Source organism: Homo sapiens, chromosome 7 (genome assembly GCF_000001405.40).
Source record: "Homo sapiens chromosome 7, GRCh38.p14 Primary Assembly".
Lineage (NCBI taxonomy): Eukaryota > Metazoa > Chordata > Mammalia > Primates > Hominidae > Homo > Homo sapiens.
Window position 1 is genome coordinate 139,983,269 of NC_000007.14, and position 18,946 is coordinate 140,002,214.

Consider the following 18,946-nt stretch of genomic DNA (forward strand, 5'->3'; position numbering starts at 1 on the left):
CCTTCCATGTGCTCTCACTGGGATTGGTGCCATCTGTGACATAAGAAAAACATAGAAACATAAAAACATAAGAAAAACTATTATTTGTTGTGATTTGTTCTCCCTAATCTATGAAGTCGGTAGGGTATCTGTTATAAAGATTCCCTTCTAGAGTCGAGAAAACAGAGGCTCAGAGAGGTTAAGTGTTTTTCTCAGGGTCACACAGCAAATACAGAACTCCAGTCTTCTTGCTGTGTCTCTTACCCTCTGTCATCAGGATGCAGGGGCTGCTGAGCTGAGATGCCTGCAGATGAGTAAACTGGCGGGAAGAAAGACACCAACCCAATAGATCTCCATGTATTTTATATATTTTCTCACCTACTCAGTCTAGATTTTCAAACAACATACAGAACTTTCTGGGATCTTGTCATCATTCAGTGTACTGTCCTCTGGATCCTCTCCAGGAGCCGCCCACTCCGCACACATTTTTTTTTCTAGTTGTCATAAACAAATTTCAAAGAAAGCCATTTTCCCAGAGCCCTTTCTTGTGACTCTACCACAGTTCATCCTGGTTTGCAGAATCCAAACTCAGGGCTTCCTTCCAATATTTTTATTAGTTCAGTAGTCGATCAGTTTGCACAGAGAAGTGGATTGGAGCTCCCCTTCCCTTGGAGCTGCCAGTGGAGAAAGTCTCCTCCAACCCTCAGGCTCAGCACCACTCAGGGCCAGTGAGATGCACAAACAGCATCTTGCAGGTACCACAATGCCTTCATCACTTGTATCTTCCCCGACCCTGTGATGAAGTAGGATGAAGATGGCTGAGGGTATGGACGTTGGGCCCACCTCCCTGGCTTAAAGCTGCTGGACCCCTTACCCGGCCATGTGGCCCTGGGGCATGACACAGTTCCCCCTAAGCCTCGCTTCTTCACTGTTTAAAGGGGATAATAATAGCATCTGCTCTGTTAGACTGAGGGCTGGTTAAGTGGAATAACATACTTAGCACATAGCCTGGTACCCACTTATTTTTTTTATTTTGCTACTTTGTTTCAAATCTTCAAATCTTCCTATTATTCCTTTTTTACAGAGCCATGTCAGAAACCTTAGATTCACGTCCCTTCCATGTGTCCCTTCCACATGTCCCTCCTTGACCTGCCACAATGCCTCTGCTCCACCCAGAGCCTCAGCACCTGCGTTCTGCCCCCTCAGTAACCAGGGTCCCTCACCTGCCACTCCTGGGTTGCTCTCTCCTTTTGAACTAGAAATTTTTCTACCCTCCTGCCCCTCCAGCCAAAATTACCTTTTTGATGTCCCATTTCCCCAGGACACTATTTTGTCCTAGGGATCAAAAATAAAAAAATAAGAAAGAAAGAGAGAGAGAGAGAGAGAGAGAGAGAGAAAGAAAGAAAGGGAAGGGGGAAAGAAAGAAGAAAAGAAGAAGAAAGAAAGAAGAAAGAAAAAGAAAGAGGAAGGAAGGAAAAGAAAGAAAGAAAGAAGAAAAAGAAAAGAAAGAAAGAAAGCAGGAAAGAAAGAAAGAAAAGAAAGAAAGAAAGGGAAGGGGGAAAGAAAGAAAAGAAGAAGAAAGAAAGAGGAAGGAAGGAAGGAAAAGAAAGAAAGAAGAAAGAGAAAGAAAGAAAAGAAAGAAAGCAGCAAAGAAAGAAAGGAAAGAAAGAAAGAAGGAAAGAAAGAAAGAAAGAAAAGAAAAGAAAGAAAGAAAGAAAAGATCAAATTACCAGGATCTGAGGACCTGGGAGGATTTCAGAAATCGCTGGTCAGTCCCAGCAACTAAGGCTCAAATGCCCTCCCCAGGATTCTGCTGGAGATCATTCTGCCAGTCACTCCAGGAGCGAGGGGCTCACCTCTTCCTAAGGCAGGACTTTCCACGAGGCTAGACCAGACCAGTGTCCTCCAATTAATTCATTTCCCTGTGTCTTCCATCCATGGTTTCAAACTCTGGGACCCCAAAGCACAGTGGCCCTTTACAAAGTTGAAGGCTATGTCCCTCTGGCTTCTGCAGCTTTTCCTGATGTGGCAGGGTTTCAGGTCCCCTGCCCATCCACCCCCCACCCCTCTAGCCTGACTGTCTGTGTCCCTCTAGAGGGTGACATGCCTTGAATGGCAGCGAACCCTGGTGTGGGCTGATGGTGTGGAGTACAGAGCGGTAGCCGCTGCCCTGTTATCAGCTGCTTCCAAAGGCCAGGGTGGTCGTTAGTGCATCATTAATAACCCATTATCGGGTTGTCATCTCTGAATTTATCTAAATTTATCTCAATTATTGTAACCCTGTAGACTGATAAGCCCTATAAGTATAAAATACACTGGATGAAAAAGCTACTTCCTATTATTTGTTCTAAAAAATTAACTCCTTCAAGTAATCTAGAGTTTGGTGACCAATTTCTTATTTTACCCTCCTCACATCTTCAAAACTCAGCACTGGTGATTTCACGTCTGTTGATGGGATTCATCTGTCCCCCTCCACTAGACTGGAAGCTCCCCATAAGGTGAGACCCACTATAGCATCCCCCAATGTCCAGCACGGAACTGGAGCATCACAGGTGCCCTGAGGAATGAATGGGTGGACGGCGCTTACAGACTCGGGTGCCACTTCCTCTTGTCCAGCTCCATGCCCTCCCCCATAGTGTGTGGACCATCGGGGGCCTAGAACTGAGGTCCTGGTTGGTAGCACCCAGGAGCCTGTTCCCAACATGGCCCCATGGCAGGGCCTGGTCTCCAGGTGTGGCATGAGGTGCTACATGAGCATTCTGTGAGCATCTTCAGGGAGAAAACAAAGTGTTGGCCAGGCCCACCGGAACAGCGGCCCACCTAAACAGGCTGGCGGGCGGAGGAGTGCCACAGAATGGACATGGGGAGGCCTTACAAGGTCTGTAGTAGCAGAGGTAGTGAATGTTTGTTGAGTTCTCTCTATGCGCTAGTGTTATTCTAAGTGAGGTCCATGGGCCACGCTTTTTGCTGACTACAACTCTGTGGAGTAGGACTAGGATTATCCCCATTTTCCTGGGTGAGAAGCTGAGGCTGCCAGAGTTAAGTTGACTAGGGCCACACAGCTGAGAAGTGGTGAAGCATAAATTGAAACTTGGGCAGTCTGACTCCCATATACTTTAAAAGAAAATATTTCCATAGATTATTGGGGAACAGGTGGTATTTGGTTACATGAGTAAGTTCTTTAGGGGTGATTTGTGAGATTTTGGTGCACCCATCACCCAAGCAGTATATAATGAACCCAATTTATAGTCTTTTATCCCTCACCCCCTTCCCACCTCTCCCCCCAAGTTTCCAAAGTCCATTGTATCATTCTTATGCCTTTGCATCCTCATAGCTCCCGCTTATGAGTGAGAACATACCATGTTTGGTTTTCCATTCCTAAGTTACTTCACTTAGAATAATCGTCTCCAGTTCCACCCACATTGCTGCAAATGCCATTAACTCATTCCTTTTTATGGCTGAGTAGTATTCCATCATATATATATATATATACATACATATATATATATGTGTGTGTGTGTGTGTGTGTGTGTGTGTGTGTGTGTGTGTGTGTATATATATATATATATACACCATAGTTTCTTTATCCACTAGTTGATGGGCATTTGGGCTGGTTCCACATTTTTGCAATTGCGAATTTGTGTGCAAGTTTGCTTTTAACCACTATGCGATCTTGGCTCTCAAGGTGGAAATTTGATGTGGAAAGCAGAGTCAGGCCCTGGAAGAATCCCCCAGGCTATCTGTAAGAGCTAGAATCGGTATGATGTTCTAGAAGCAATTGGCCTGGGCAGTGCCCTGAGAGCTTAGCAGTGCAGTCATGAGCCAGCACTCTGCCTGGGTCTCTGTCACAGAGTTTCTCGTGCTTGGCTGCAGCCTGGAGCCACCTTGGGGAGCTTGATGCCTGGGGCTCCCCACGGATTCCAGTGTCATCGGCCTGGGCATTTGGCATTTGGGATATTCACAAGCTCCTTGGTGACTCCAGGGTGCAGCCGAGGTTGAGAACCATTGGGAATAGAAAAGCAAGAGGAAGCTGTTCTCACCTGCCCTTTCCACACCAGAGCCCCAGGGTCCCGGGGAGACTAAAGCTGGGGTCTATTTCTATTCCCCCAACCAAGACGGGAGCTTCACATCCCCACACACTGAGAGGCCAGAATGGGTCAGACCAGAGTGAGTGTGCTCTGGCTAAGACTGGCCGACAGCTCTGTTCCCCTGGGGTGGGGACTGGACGTGGCCCTTTGGTTTAACTGCATTTTACTCTTTCCAGCCTGTCTGGCCATTATTCTTGCAGGAGCACGCAGGACTAAAGTCCCCTTCCTCAGCACCACGCATGTCCCATCTCACCCTGTGTCTTCCAACTTCACTTGCCATAAATCAGTTGTCAGGACCCCCGACCCTAAAACAGTCACCTAATGATAAATCATGTTTAATTCTAATGGAACCCTCCCGCCAAGACTACTCATCAGAGAGGAAGCTAATTCGCAGGGATATGAAGAGCTTTCTAAAATTAGTTCCAGACGTTTTTTGTCTTAAATCTGTATTATGGCTGCCCTATTTTTAATTTACTTTTTGAAAAACCACATTGGGACACTAAGTAATCTGGGGGCCCAAAAGACTTTGGGGGCCACGGGAACCTCCCAGGCCCTAGGGGGCAGTAGCACCACCATGCAGATCACCAGTTCCACAAAAGAACGGAACTCCACCAGTACCTAGTGTTATTAGTATAAGTTTTGGGAAAGGTCCTTCTTTTCTTAGCTCATTAGAAAAACAATCACAGCATCCTATGGACTGGGCCAAAGTGGGCAGACATTGCAGTCCAGCCCAAAGAGGCCTGTCCCAGCAGGACGCCAGGGGACAGGGTCAGAAAGAGGCAGCCCACAAGCTGAGCACAGCTGCAGAGGTTTTAGCTTGCTTACTACATTTGAATTAATTGCCAAACTTTTAAACTCAGGGGAATTCCGCAAAAATCTAGGTACCAGCTTTTCTTGAAGACAACGGAAGCTCAGGCCACCCTGAGGCCATCACCTCTGGCAGTCACCTGCCAAGCACGTGGCTCCAGCTTAGCCCGAGCGCCTCCACCTGCCCCGTCAAGGCCCAGATGCAGTGGCCCTTACCCATCACACTTGCGCTGTTCTGACCACAGACTCACAGTCATGGTCCCACCTGGCCCCATGGACATTTGGGTTTGCATCATCATCTAATGACACAGTGAAGCTCCTTGGCCTACCAGCTCCCTTTGTGTTCACCTTGACCAGCCCCCAGCTCCTTGCTTCTGCATCTTGACTTCTGCCGTGGTCCTGCCCAGAACCCTGAGGGCTGTTTCTCTTCCCTACTCCCCTCCGGCTTCTCCTTCCTACCTTTCCACGCTGCAGGATGGGGTACTTCTGCTTGCCTCAGCTGCCTGGCCCCTCCAAAGCCTCCTTTGACCATCAGCCCAGCTTGCATGGATGCCCGGGACACATACAGCACTTTCTTGGTCTTGGTTTACAAAGTAGTCTGCCCCAGTGGTCCCACCACACCTCCAATCAACTCCAGACCCCAGCCAGCCACTTGAAAATCTGTAGTCCAGGCCAGAGGGCAAAAGGCACAGTCGAGGACAAGGAGCAGGCATCCCGTGTGGCGGGAGCAGGAACACTCTTGCTCAGGGTGCTGTGCGATGGGCCATTGGTAGGTAGTCCCAGCTGGTCTGGTGTGTGAGGGGAGAGGCAGGTTCACCCAGCTGTCTGTGCCCGGGCAGGGCAACTCCCGAAGTGGGCTGAGGGAGAGCTCTCCGTGATCTCTAAGGAGGGAGGCAGCGCATTGCAGGGTTAGCAAACCTTTAGAAGATCCTCCCGGTGTTCTTCCTCCCGCTCCTGCCCTGCCCATAGCAGAAATCAACAACACGTGGGCACTGAGCTCTTTTCCAGAAACTTTCCAAAGAGACCCATGGGTCTGGCCAAGACCCTCAGGGGTTGCCCTCATTGGCCTGGGGACAGTTTTTGAGCGACTGCTCTTTGAGAAGAAGTCAGCATCAGAGGGAGTCAGAGAAGAGGGGTAAGCAAGCTAGGTTGGGGAGCTGCTACCCCCAAATCAGACTGCAAAGACAGGCAAGGGTCATGGCCACTTCCGTGGGCCCAGTGCCAGACAGCTCCACAGAGGCTCAGAGAGGGCTGAAGGGCCAAGCCTAAGGAAAACAACAAGGCTGAAACTCCCCATGTCTAACGACATCGTGAGCGTGGCTGCAGAGCTCCCACATGGCTTCCTCCTCCTTCCCAAGGGGCTGCCCCACCGCTTTGCCCTCACTAGCCAGAGCAATCTACCTTGTTCACTTTGCCCAAGACACAGGGAGGACCCCTGTGGTCTTTGCAGGGGCTTCACCCAGTTGAGCTGGGAAGAGACCTCACAGCATCCTCCCCATCTCCCTGGCCCGGGTTTAGAATACTGAAGACACATAGTCCTGTCCTCCGTGGCCTACGCAGATCCTTCCTGTTCCTGAGATCTCTGGCCCCATGCGGGCCCATCTCTGCATTCCTAGCTTGGTGGATGCCCTGCCTATCTGGCTTCTACCTTTGATTGTTCCCTTGGTCACTCCGATGCCATGGTCCTATAGCAATCAGGGTGCTGAGTGAGTCCCTGCCTGTCCTGCCTTATAAGGAAGAGACAATTATTTGTGTCCTGCCCATCTTTGCTCATCATTGTCATGGGTTTTAGAATCAAGCCGACTTGGCTTTTCACTCCCTTAACACTGTGAGCTCCTCCTTATGCAAAACACCACAGGCCTGCCCGCCGGCCTTAAGCACACACCCTTCTGAGCCTCAGTTTTCCTGTCTGTAAAATAAAACTCAATGAAATGACACAAGTGAAACTCACCTGGTGCCTGCCCTCTTCTCATAAATGGCCCATTGCTTCTGTTCTCCTCTCCTCCCCCAGGCCAGGCCTCCCCTCCCTAGTCCTCATCTTATACCCACACCTCCCTGCCCCTCACTCAGGGCCTTGGCTCTGAAGGGAGACCCCGAGGCCATCTGAAAGTGTGAGCACAGCTGGCGGTGGTGGCTGGCATCCAGGGGACGTGAGGGCGCATTCGCCCCAGCGCAGCATTCCTCCTTCCTAAGCTTGCACAGGGCCTGGTATTGAAGGGCAGCAGATTCATTCCAGCATGACTACTGCAGCTACCTGTGTCTCCTGGCGGAAGGGGCAGCCTCAGGAGTGTGGAGTTCAGGGATCCAGCTTTGACTTGGCCACGCCCAGAGCCAGCCAGCCTCGAGCACCTGTTTCCTGTCTGGGGGCACGGGAACCCTCCTGTCCTCCAGGGACCCCAGCCTCCTCATCTCTGCTGGGCAGTCATCTACTACCCCTGGTTCTGACCCCTGAGACCTCTTGTCCTGGAGCCCGCAGGGTCCAGCTCAGCTGTGCCCCCTCTCGGGGCCGCTCTGGTGGCTTCTTTGCTGCCACCCTCCCCACCCCCGGCACTGTGCTCTCCCTGCCCCCACTACCACTCTCATCTGGTTGCCCAGTCCATGATTGTGAACTTGACCTCTACCCCTGGCTGCCTGGGCCTACGATCCTGCAAAAACCCCTCCAACCAGCTGGCCCCACCCCTCAGGACTTCCCTCCTGTGGCAGAGTCACCTGTGACACCTGGAGGGACTCCAGTCCAGTGTGTCCCCACCTTCAGGCTAACCCCCTTGGAGAAGCCTCCCGACGGTGCAGGCACGGGGGCACAGAGGCAGCAGGACATTGCAGGAGCAGAGACACGAAGACAAAAGAAACAAATGATTCCTTAAGATCCATGGCCAAAACAAATTGCCGCAATTAACACGTGCCACTGCCACGATCTATGGGCTGAAACGTGGCTGGAACGACGCAGAAGCAGAAACCACAGAGAGCGTGCGCTCCAATAAAACGGCACTAAATGGCACGGCTGTGATGGAACTCGTTTCGATTTTGTTCCAAAACCTTGTTTAAGTGCGTTTATTGTTTCTGTGTGAAAGAACACAAATGCTTTTTGAAAATTGCTTCAGCATAAGCCTCACCTTCTCCAGAAAGTCTTTCTGATCCCTCCCATCCCTACCCCATGCAGGTCCGTGACCCCCACGATGCCCCCATATGTTGCCCCCCTATGTTGCCACGGTGCCCACACTTCCCTGTCACCACCAGTGTCCTCCTGGCTTCTCCACCCCCAGGGACTGTGCATCACCCGTCTCCACCCCACCCCAGAACAATGCTCTGTACACAGCAGACAGCAGGCAGCAGGTGACACAGGCCCAATGGAATGACTGTCAAGGTTAAGGGAGAGGTCATTTATGAACATCAAGGGAGGCACGCAGGCTGCTAAGGGGACCCTTGCAGAACAGATGAAATTCTTATTAGAAAGAGTCAGTGTTGATTTCTCAAAAAATCTATCAATCAATAAAATAAAAGCATAAAGACATAGAAACACATAAACAGAGAATCGTTTTACATGGAAGATGGGGAGTGGTGACTTGGCCTCATAGGGCCATAATCACCCTTTTGGGGTTTTGTCCCACATTAGAAGAGCAGCCCCATAGCAGAGATAAGAAAACCAAAAAAGGGTAACAAAAACTGGGCACAGAGTCAGGACTGGACTGAAGCCCCGGAGAGCACGGGCAGCTCTCTAGCAGGTGGGGCAAGAGGGACTTTAGCTGGGAGCACTTGGCCCCCAGCCTAGGCACCAGAGCTCGAGGGGAGACCCTTCCCATTCCCTGAGAGATGGAGTATGGGTCTCACTTGCAGGGGAGCCTCGTGGGAATCCCTCATATGGGAAGAAGGATGGCATGGAATGGCCTTTCTCTCCCCCAACGCCCAGCCAAGGGAGGCAAGCCCTCCCTGTCCGCTCTAGCAATATGGCACAAGGGGGTATGATCTGCCAGTTCTCCCTTGAGAGGCTTGGTGGGGACCACCTGCAGGCCAGCTGGCAGCCCCCCTTCACCTGCTCACAACTAGCAGGCCAGGGGGTGAGGCATGGACCAGCATCTCCGCTGCTTTGAGCAATCATGAAAACTCCAGGTCCATGGAAGATAAGAAATTGGCTATCAAGGCTCTGAGGCATGTGCTATCTGCGATTTAGTAAATCTCTTCCCACCCCCAAATTTAATTTTTTAAAAAACCTCCCTCCTCAAGAACTTCATTCTCATGTATCCTAATCCACCCCGCCAGCTCCCAGCAGAGGGGAGGGCCACTCTCTTGGGTCCAAAGGCCCACACTAGCGGGGAAGCTCGCGGAGCCATGTCTCTGGGGGCCGTTTTTACTTTGTTTTGCCACTGTAGAGGCCACTCTTGGCAAGAAGCCTTTTTCACTAAAAGCCATCAGCTGCAGAAGAAGGCAAAGGGCTGAAATAGCATCAGGTGGAGGAGGCGGCCCTGGAGAGAGGCCTGGTTTCCATCCCAGCTCTCCCACCATCTGCCTGTGGCCTCTGCAAGCTCCCCAAGCCCTGGGGGCCTTCGTTTCCTCCCTGCAAAGGGAGCTGCCCTCAGAAGCACTCAGCTCGGTTCTTGGCATGGGGAGTGATTAGCTCTGCACAAACCTGGTAGTTTCACGAGAAGCCATGTAAGGTAGAGAAGTCGCTGAAGGCATCTCCCTCTCAGAGTTAAAAGGAAACAGAAAGACTGGATCTTGTGTCTCTTCCTCTTTTTAAAAAGGGAATTAGGCCTGGTGCAGTGGCTCACGCCTATAATACCAGCACTTTGGGAGGCCGAGGTGGGTGGATTACCTGAGATCAGGAGTTTGAGACCAGCCTGGTTAACACGGAAAAACCCCGTCTCTACTAAAAATAAAAAAATTAAAAACAAACAACAACAAAAACCATTAGCTGGGCATGGTAGCGCACACCTGTAGTCCCAGCTACTTGGGAGGCTGAGGCAAGAGAATTGCTTGAACCCGGGAGGCAGAGGTTGCAGTGAGCCGATCCAGCCTGGGAGAGAGTGAGACTCGGTCTCAATAAATACATAAATGGGAAGTCATATCATCACGAGGTCCCCACTTACCCTCATGACCTCATCTAACCCTAATAACCTTCCAGAGGCCCCGTCTCCAAGTATATGATCATGTTGGGGAATAGGGTTTCAACACATAAACCTGGGGAGGCCGGACTCACACATTCAGTCCATTGCACAATGTATCAAAAATTCTAATTGTATTGGGCAAGCCTACACTGCCCAATTGTAAGCGAAGTCCCTGAGGCCGGAGAAATCAAGGTATCCATCAGTGAATACAGGGTATTAAGAAATGCCAAAGCTTACTGCTCAAGTTCATCTCCTGCTGACCCTGCGGCCCTGCTGCCTGGGCCTAGAATGGACGCACTTCTCCACAAGGCCTTGTCTTTCTTGAGATTCTCACAGTGTGACCCGAGAAGCATGCTCCACAATTTCTTATCAATTGAACACTAAAAATCCCATCTAGCTATGGGATGCCTAGTTTCTCCTCCTGGATTTTGTGGTTAAACCCTTCTGTCTCCAATGCAATGTAGCAGTGAGCACAGCTCTGGACCCGCATCCCAAGGCCTGAGGTCTAACGCTGCCTCTGCCCCCTCCTTTGCTGTGCAGCTTAGGCAAGTCACTTCACCTCTCTGGGCTGTGGTTCCTCATCCATCCAATGGGAGGGTTGAACTGCTCTTTGTTTGCTTTGCTTTGCTTTTTCTTTTTCTTTCTTTCTTTTTTTTTTTTTTTTTTTTGAGACACAGTCTCACTCTGCCACCCAGGCTGGAGGGCAGTGGCTTACTGCAGCCTTTGCCTCCCAGGTTCAAGTGATTCTCCTGCCCCAGCCTCCCAAGTAGCTGGGATTACAGGTGTGCACAACCATGCCCAGCTGATTTTTTTTGAGATGAAGTTTTGCTCTTGTTGCCCAGGCTGGAGTGCAATGGCGTGATCTGGGCTCACTGCAACCTCTGCCTCCCAGGTTCAGGTGGTTCTCCTGCCTCAGCCTCCCGCGTAGCTGGGATTACAGGCACCTGCCACCACACTTGGCTAATTTTTTGTATTTTTAGTAGAGATGGGGTTTCGCCATGTTGGCCAGGCTGGTCTCAAACTCCTGACCTCAAGTGATCTGCCTGCCTTGGCCTCCCAAAGTGCTGGGATTACAGGCGTGAGCCATTGTGCCCAGCTGCTCTTCCCTTTTTACTGTCCTATGACTGGTCTCCCAATGCCAGCTGAGAGTGTTGGTCTGATCTCTTTTCTTCTAAGCTGGCCACACAAATGGACCTCAGTTACTCAGTAGCCCTTAAAATCTGGTACCAGTCACCATTTAGGCCTCTGGACATCATCCTTGGGCAAAGGAGGCTTTTTTTTTAAGCTTGGGCCTAGCCCTCCCCACTTATATCCTGGACTGTGAAAATGGACCGAGTGGGCAATAGGGAATTCAGGATGAGCTGGAAAAAAAGAAAAAAAAAACTCCTGCTGCAATAAATTACATCACAGTGGAGATCTCTTTCTACCCAGAAAATTCTGAGCCCAGACAATGGCTCATTTATTTCAGACAATATTCAATACAACAGAATTCCAGGTCAATAGAAGGATTTCTGCAGGTTCTTAGAGTTGGTAGCAAAGGGATTTAACCCACGGAGAAAAGAGAGCTGTTCAATAATAGATTCCCAGGCGTGAGGGAGGCCTTATTAATAAATCCATCGGTGGTCTGCTGAAAATGCTGCCCCCTCCCTTGCGGGCATCCCACCTGACGACAGTGGGGGACTGATGCACCCAGGGCCCTGACCAGGGAGGACGTTTGGGTAAATATTTGGGCAGAGATGGCTGCTGCTAGAATGGTGAGCAGAGCTGGGGAGCGCAGGAAACGGCCCCTTTCTCCCAGGCCCTCAGATGAGACATTTTTATAAACATCCAGGCAGGCAGCCTCTGAAGACTCCTGGGCTTTACAAACACATCTCGTATTCTATAGTCAGCTGAGACCATGCTTTGAGCATGGGCGGTAAGAGGAGCAGGAAGCAGGAGGGGCGGGGAGGGGTCTGGCACCAGCTTTCTAAATTTAACATGCAGTTGCTTTTAGGCCAGTGGATAAAAAATAAATTCCAGTGCTTAAAGCTCTTATCTTTGTTTACCATTTCCCCAAACAGCTAGTGACCTGCTCTCTGACTCCTACAGCAAATCATCAACAAGATGCACACGAAGATGAGGGATGGGAAATGCAGGAGGGGTGTGCGGAGGGCAAGTTGATGGCTCTCCGCCTTCCCGTCACGTTTATTTGGCCTGGCAGAGTGACCAGGATCTGCTAAGGTCATGAGGCTGTCCCTGGGTGGGTGGGGGCGTGGCCATGCTGCATCAGACCGGTCCAGAGGTGGAGGGCACCTTGGGGTCTCTCGTGTGGCTCTCCTGTTGATGAGGGACCTATGAATATCCCACAGCGACCTTTTCAGATGCTCCATAACCTCGTGTGAAAAGCCCCGGTGGACCTGGGCTTGCCTATTGCATTGTGAAGTTGTAGTCCTTTGAAAATCCTGCCCCACGTGGAGTCAGAATCTTTCTTTCTGGGACTGATGCCATGGGGCCTGGCTCCACCCCCACAACTGCATGGCACAGCACTGCCTTTTCCTTGGCCATGGGCTCACCCTGCAGATGGGTGATGATGCGCTCCTGCCTCCCTTCAGTTTGTTCTGTTCTCCCAAATTCTTTCAGTGTGCCTGGTAGAAGCAGTCTGCCAGTCTCCCCTCGCTCCCTCTCATTCATCCCCTCTCTAACTACTCATCCTGCGACCCCACTGACTTGGTTTTGGCCTTGTCCCTGCCACAGTTGACAAATATAATGGCGCGTCTTCTTCTTCATTATTATCATTATTATTACTGGCAATCATAGTCCACTCTGCCTCAAACTCCTAGGTTCAAGTGATCCTTCCACCTCGGCCTCCCGAGTAGCTGGGATTACAGGTGCACACCACCATGTCTGGCATTTTTTTTTTTTTTTTAGAGATGGGGTTTCACTATGTTGTCCAGGCTGGTCTCGATCTCCTGGCCTCAAGCAATCCTGCCACCTCAGCCTCCCAAAGTGCTGGGATTACAGGCGTGAGCCACCGTGCCAGCCATCAATGGTCTCTCTTAGTCTTGAATCTCCCAGGCACTGTCCAGGAGATCTGAGATGTTTTCCAGGGTCCCTTACTTTCCAGTTGCCCTGCCACCTTCCCCTGGGAAGCATTAAGGTTCAATGCTTGGCTCTGTGCTTGTTTTTCTTACCCCTATCCCAGAGGACTCATCCCCGTCTGTGCGATACCATCTCCCCACTTCTACGCCAAGCTGCTCACGGTCTCACCCAGGTGGGGTGGTGGAGGGGGCCTCCAGCAAAATCCTGCAAAAGCTGATCTCCTTCCCCTGGAAGATGCTGCCCCACCCATGTGGTCCTCTTTCTGTGTTTCTCTCAGCCACTTAGGAATGAAACCAGGGAATCCCTTTCATCTCTCTTCATTCCCTGACCCGTTAAATCCCAACACCCTCACCTCCCCTGGTAGAGCTTCCTTTATGACAGTGATTCTGAAATCCAGGCTGCATGTGATAATCCCTTGGGGGACTTCTAAAACAATACCAATTCCTGCACCCCAATCCAGACCGATTAAGTGGAAATGTTTTGGGATGGGCCCCAGCATCAATAGGGAACAGCCAAGATAGACAGCCACTGCTGATAAGGCTTCTCTCTTTCAGCCCCTTTTCCCATTCTGACTACTGGCCTTGTGATTGGAGCACCTCACTTTTGCCTGGACTATTGCAAGAACCTCCTGTCTTATTGACCTATTTCCCAACTCTTTCTACCTCAGCCATCCTACATGTCGTTGTCAGATCACACAAAGCCATTTTCAGTATGTTATCTTGACTCATCAAAAACCTTCAGTGGCTCCCTATTACCATAAAAATAAATCTGTGAATGAACAAATAAATGGTTTCCCAAATACAGAGTAAGTTCTATATGGCACAGAACCGTATCTTATCCCCTCTCTTTCCCTGCCCCTCACCCCACACACTCTGCTAATCGGAGTAAATAGAGGGAACCAGGATCTGTGGGGTGAGTGAACAAAAGCATTTTCTCTGCAAATTAAATGTGGTCCACTCACTTCCCAGTGCAGAGAAAGTGGGCTAGGTGATTTAACTATCACTTACTTAGGGGCTTATTTCTTTCAACATCATATACAGTCAGCTGTGAATGTTCCATACTAATGGAAAAAACAGAATCCTAAATATTACCAAACAGCAGATAATTCAAAGACTCGAATCTAGTTGATGTTGGAATGCGTTTTTGCTTATGAGTGCTGAGTGCTTGTGTCTGATAATTGGGGCAATTTTTAAAAATTAGGTAATTAGATGTGTTTTATTTGTTCCTATTTCCCCCTCCCCCCACTATACACACACACTATATGAATAAATAACTCAGCTCCCAAAACAATGCCCTATTTCTTTCTCTCAGTCCTTTCCTGGAATAGAGATAGTGGTTACATTTCAGAATATTAGCAAGGAAGGGAGAAGAAACTGGGGAGGAGCCTGCAGTTAGAGTAAATAGAAGAAACTAGGATGTCAACAGGCTGCTTTTCAACTGATTCACTGTTAAAATTTTAGGCAGTGTGAACAACCTGTCTGTCAAACTGTTTGCAATATCTACTAAAGCTGAACATACACATCCCTCATGACCCGGCAGTGCCATGCCCAGATGTACACCCAACAGAAACCTGTACTCTGTTCACCAAAAGCCATAAACAAGAATGTTCATAAGGCTTTATTCATAATGGCCCCCAACCTGGGAACAACTCAAATGTCCATTGACAAGGAAAAGGATGGATAAATCGGGGCAGCTCACCCAATGGAGCACCAAATCATGAGGATGAACACACCACAACACACAACATGGGTGACTGTCACAGACATGAAACTGAGCAAAAGAAGGCAGACCGAAAAGCCTGCATGGAAATATTTCATTTATAGGAAGTTCAAGACAAAGAGGCAAAAGTAATCTCTCGTGTTAGAAGTCAAGACAGTGGTTACTACTGAGGGGCATGTGACCGGGAGAGGCCACGGGTGTGCTTCCAAGTGCTGGAAGGTTCTGTCTTGGTCTAAGTGCTGGTTACACAGGAATGCTTACAGTGTGAAAATTCATTGAGCTCTAAGTTTGTGTTTGTGTCATATTTTTCCATATGCGTGTTATTCTTCCATAAAATGTACAAGAGGAAAGGAAGGGAGGGAAGGCTGGAGGGAGGGAAGGTAAGACCAGGTAGGCCCAGGTAATGGAAAAGGCTTGGAATTTGAAGACCTGGATTCAGTTCCAACTCTACCATTAACTGGCCGTGCGACCTGGGACAAGTCACTTCACCTCTCCAAATATCTGGTTTTTTTTCATCTATAAAATAGACAATAAAAGCTGCTCTACCTACCTCACAGTGTGGTTGTGAAGACCAAATGGTATAATGGATGTAAAAATCCATTGGTGAGCAATAAAGTGTTTCACAAGGCAAAACACTATTATTATTCTAGATCTCTGCAGACAGCAATTTCTGCAGCAGGTCAGCACTGTCAGTGAAGCTCAGCCCAGAGCCATCATGGAGAAGACTGATGCCCCGTGGGTTGTGTGTTTGTGTGCGCACGCAGCCTGGTTTATGTTTTTTCATTACATCTCTGCACCTAATCCCTTAATGGCCTGGGCCTCAGAGTACAAAAACACCTGGAAAAATCTCTGTGTTTTTATGAGACGGGTTCTGTCCCCTTCTAAAGCAGGTATAAATAGATGCCATGTACACTCTCTTAATTACTTTTTCTCGAGTATGGATGAATTTCAACATCTAAATCTGCCAAATTATTGAAGCTAGCACAGAGAACTTTCTGGGCATTGGCCAGGGAAGCCAGCAATGTGGATGGAAAGATTTATCACCCCCTCTCATAACCAAACCTCCATCGTATCTCCCTGCAAGCCTTGAAACTGCTCACTGGACCCACTCAGACAACAGAGCTATGGGATCTAGAAGGTGAAATGTCAGAGCTCAGAGAACCTCAGCTCCCTCCCAACCTTGCCATAAGAACTCAGGGCTGGCCGGGCGCCATGGCTTACGCCTATAATCCCAGCACTTTGGGAGGCCGAGGTGGGTGAATCACCTGAGGTCAGGAGTTCAAGACCAGCCTGGCCAACATGGTAAAACCCCGTCTCTATAAAAATACAATAACTACGTGGGCATGGTGGTGAGCGCCTGTAATTCCAGCTACTTGGGAGGCTGACGCATGAGACTCGCTTGAACCCGGGAGGTGGAGGTTGCAGTGAGCCGAGATTGTACCATTGCACTCCAGCCTGGGGGATAGAGCAAGACTCTGTCTCCAAAAAACCAGTTGCAAGGGTGAGGGGCTTTGCCTCTGGTTTATGGTCAGAAGGGCAAAGCGAAGGTCACCCCATTTTCCACGGCTTGGTTTCATATTATAGTCCCACGGTCCCTGGAGAATCAGAGTGAATGGAAATCTTTATTCTTCATATGGCTGTATTGCCCCAAGCTGTCCTCGTGCTTAAGGGATTTCCAGCTCCGGCTTCTAGAGGGCAAGGGCCAGCATCACTTGGCCTACTTCTTAGTATAAGACCAAGTCTAGTGACAGCTGGGTAGGCATAACTACTACAGATGCTGCTGTTCCTACTGCTCTGAAGAAGAAAACTGAAGCCACCTCTGCTTCTATTTCCTTTAACAACATAGAAAAATGATAATTTTTCTATTAGGTCCGTGAATCTCCAGGAAAAATCTTTGTGAAAGCAATGACATTTTTATTTTCTTTTTCTCATTTATACTCCAGATGACATCTGCACACACACCCAGTGTGTGGCGTATGTGTAGGTGTGTGACTGTGTGTGTGTGTCTAGCTTTCAGAGAAAATGATACACAAAATGATAAATATAGAAAAGAGATTAATAGGAGAGGGCAGTACTGTTATTTCCTACATAAAAGGATTTATCGATAGATTGCCCATAGAGTTAGTTCCCTAAACCATCAGGTTAATCTATTGTATTTAAATGTATTTAAATATTGGGCCAGGCAGAGTGGCTCATGCCTGTGATCCCAGTACTTTAGGAGGCTGAGACTGGAGGATCACTGGAGTCCAGGAGTTCAACACAAGCCTGGGCAACATAGTGAGATGTCCCCGCATCTCTACAAACAAACAAAAAACAATTAGACAGGCATGGTGGCTTGCACCTGTAGTCCCAGTTACTCTGGCGGCTGAGGCAGGAGGATCGCTTGAGCCCAGGAGTTCAAGGCTGCAGTGAGCTATGACAGCACCACTGCACTGTAGCCTGGGCCACAGAGCAAGAAAATAAACAAACACATATTGGTTTCTAGATCCTAAACTATATGATGGAAAGACTAAGAGACCAAGAATCTTAGGAATAAAATTAGAAGTTACTGCCCATTGAAAATCAACTACATATGAAAAAGTCTCCCCCAAAATGAAGAAACTCTGGTTTGAGAATGTAAATCACTAGGTAAAGATTCTGTTTATTTTATTTCCATGTTTCCCAATATTTAATTTTCAACCCTCTAAGAGCAGTTATTTTATAAAATAAGTCCCAGCTGAAATGAATTTGATAGGATTTTAGAATTTCTTTCTCCCTTAACACATCCTATTAGCCTAGTTCAATAGAGAGAGCAGAGCGCCTCATGTTGAAATAAGCTTTCCCGCCACTGAATGTGTTCAAACAGAAATATCACCTGCTTAGGAGGTACTTTCCAGTTGCCAAAGACTTCCACCTTCATCTTCTTGTTCACTCTACTCTGCAAGATGGGTGGGACAGCATTACAGACGAGGGGTCCTGTAGATACTGTCCTGACGACTGGCCCAAGGCCATGGCTAAGGGTTACAGACCCGGAACAGAACCCTGCCCTTTGCCTCCCTTGTGGGACCCAAAGCCAGGCCAAGGTCAAGGGGAGGCGCTGCAGGGGGGGCTTCCTCATTGGGTGTGGACAGCAAAGGTTGATTTTGAGATTTCCCCCCAGCTCTAATTCTCAGTAATTTGGCCTTTGAAACAGGAGGCAGAGAGAACCCTGGGGGATGGCTTTTCATGTTATCTTTTGGAAACATAGAAGCTTCAGGTGCTTCCTGGCTTGAAATAAGAGAATATTCTGCTCAGTCCCCCACATTTTTGAGACACTCCAGGCCCAGCAGACCCACAGCACCCTCACTAGCTGTTGGTAACGTTGGTGCCTGGATGTACTGACAGAGGACCAGGTGTGCCAAGGGCCTGTCACCCAGGCTGTAGTGCAGTGGCACTATCTCGGCTCACCGCAACCTCTACCTCCCAGGCTCGAGCAATTTTCCTGCCTCAGCCTCCCAAGTAGCTGGGATTACAGGCGCCCACCACCATACCTGGCTATTTTTCTATTTTGAGTAGAGATGGGATTTCACCATGTTGCCCAGGTTGGTCTCGAACTCCTGGCCTCAAGTGACACCCCCTGCCTTGGCCTCCCAAAGTGCTGAGATTATGGGCGTGAGCCACCGTGACTGGCCGATAAGAATTCTTTTCTAAACATGACCACAATACCATTATCAACTAAAACCAAAATGAATGTTCATTCCTTGAGAGCATCAAATATCCTGTTGGATTCACAGTTCCCTGATTGATTCATATTTGTTTTAGGTTGGTTGCAGCAGCCTCTGAACAAGGCCATCCACTTTTCACTGGCTTATTCTCACTCATCCTAAAAATCTCAGCCTGGACATTGTCGCTTCCTCCTCACAGAGTCCCTGATCCCAAATGTGGGAGATGTGTGTCTCTCATCTGTTCTCCCATCTCACCCTTATCCACTTGTTTGCATCCTGATAGACTGGAAGCTCCGAGAGGCTAGGACATGTCCGTGCATTTTAAAGTTACGTCTCCCGGGCCTAGCACAGTGCCTGGTGAATCATGCTCGCCAATTCCATATGTATTCCTTGAATATGTAAATGAAGGATCTCCTAAACAGAACTGGTTTTGCATTCCTCGTAAGCACATTCGATAACACTTTACACATCCATGTCATGATTTGTTTAG

At 49.0% G+C, this 18,946-nt stretch overlaps 1 protein-coding gene across 8 annotated transcripts in view, besides 4 other annotated features; it reads left to right on the forward strand.

The window, feature by feature from the left end:
- Nucleotides 1-18,946, forward strand: part of TBXAS1 (thromboxane A synthase 1) — a 242,052-nt gene that overhangs the window by 205,027 nt on the left and 18,079 nt on the right. The window lies entirely within an intron of this gene.
- Nucleotides 4,590-5,091: an enhancer, noted in NCBI's record as "H3K4me1 hESC enhancer chr7:139687657-139688158 (GRCh37/hg19 assembly coordinates)". NCBI's record gives its function as "activates a minimal SCP1, AML or CMV promoter by ChIP-STARR-seq in primed H9 embryonic stem cells {active_cell/tissue: H9 hESC(primed)}" and the evidence as "EXISTENCE:reporter gene assay evidence [ECO:0000049][PMID:30033119]".
- Nucleotides 5,092-5,591: an enhancer, noted in NCBI's record as "H3K4me1 hESC enhancer chr7:139688159-139688658 (GRCh37/hg19 assembly coordinates)". NCBI's record gives its function as "activates a minimal SCP1, AML or CMV promoter by ChIP-STARR-seq in primed H9 embryonic stem cells {active_cell/tissue: H9 hESC(primed)}" and the evidence as "EXISTENCE:reporter gene assay evidence [ECO:0000049][PMID:30033119]".
- Nucleotides 5,647-6,164: an enhancer, noted in NCBI's record as "H3K4me1 hESC enhancer chr7:139688714-139689231 (GRCh37/hg19 assembly coordinates)". NCBI's record gives its function as "activates a minimal SCP1, AML or CMV promoter by ChIP-STARR-seq in primed H9 embryonic stem cells {active_cell/tissue: H9 hESC(primed)}" and the evidence as "EXISTENCE:reporter gene assay evidence [ECO:0000049][PMID:30033119]".
- Nucleotides 14,808-15,008: a silencer, noted in NCBI's record as "peak6785 fragment used in MPRA reporter construct". NCBI's record gives its function as "represses an SCP1 promoter by STARR-seq MPRAs in K562 erythroleukemia cells {active_cell/tissue: K562}" and the evidence as "EXISTENCE:reporter gene assay evidence [ECO:0000049][PMID:32103011]".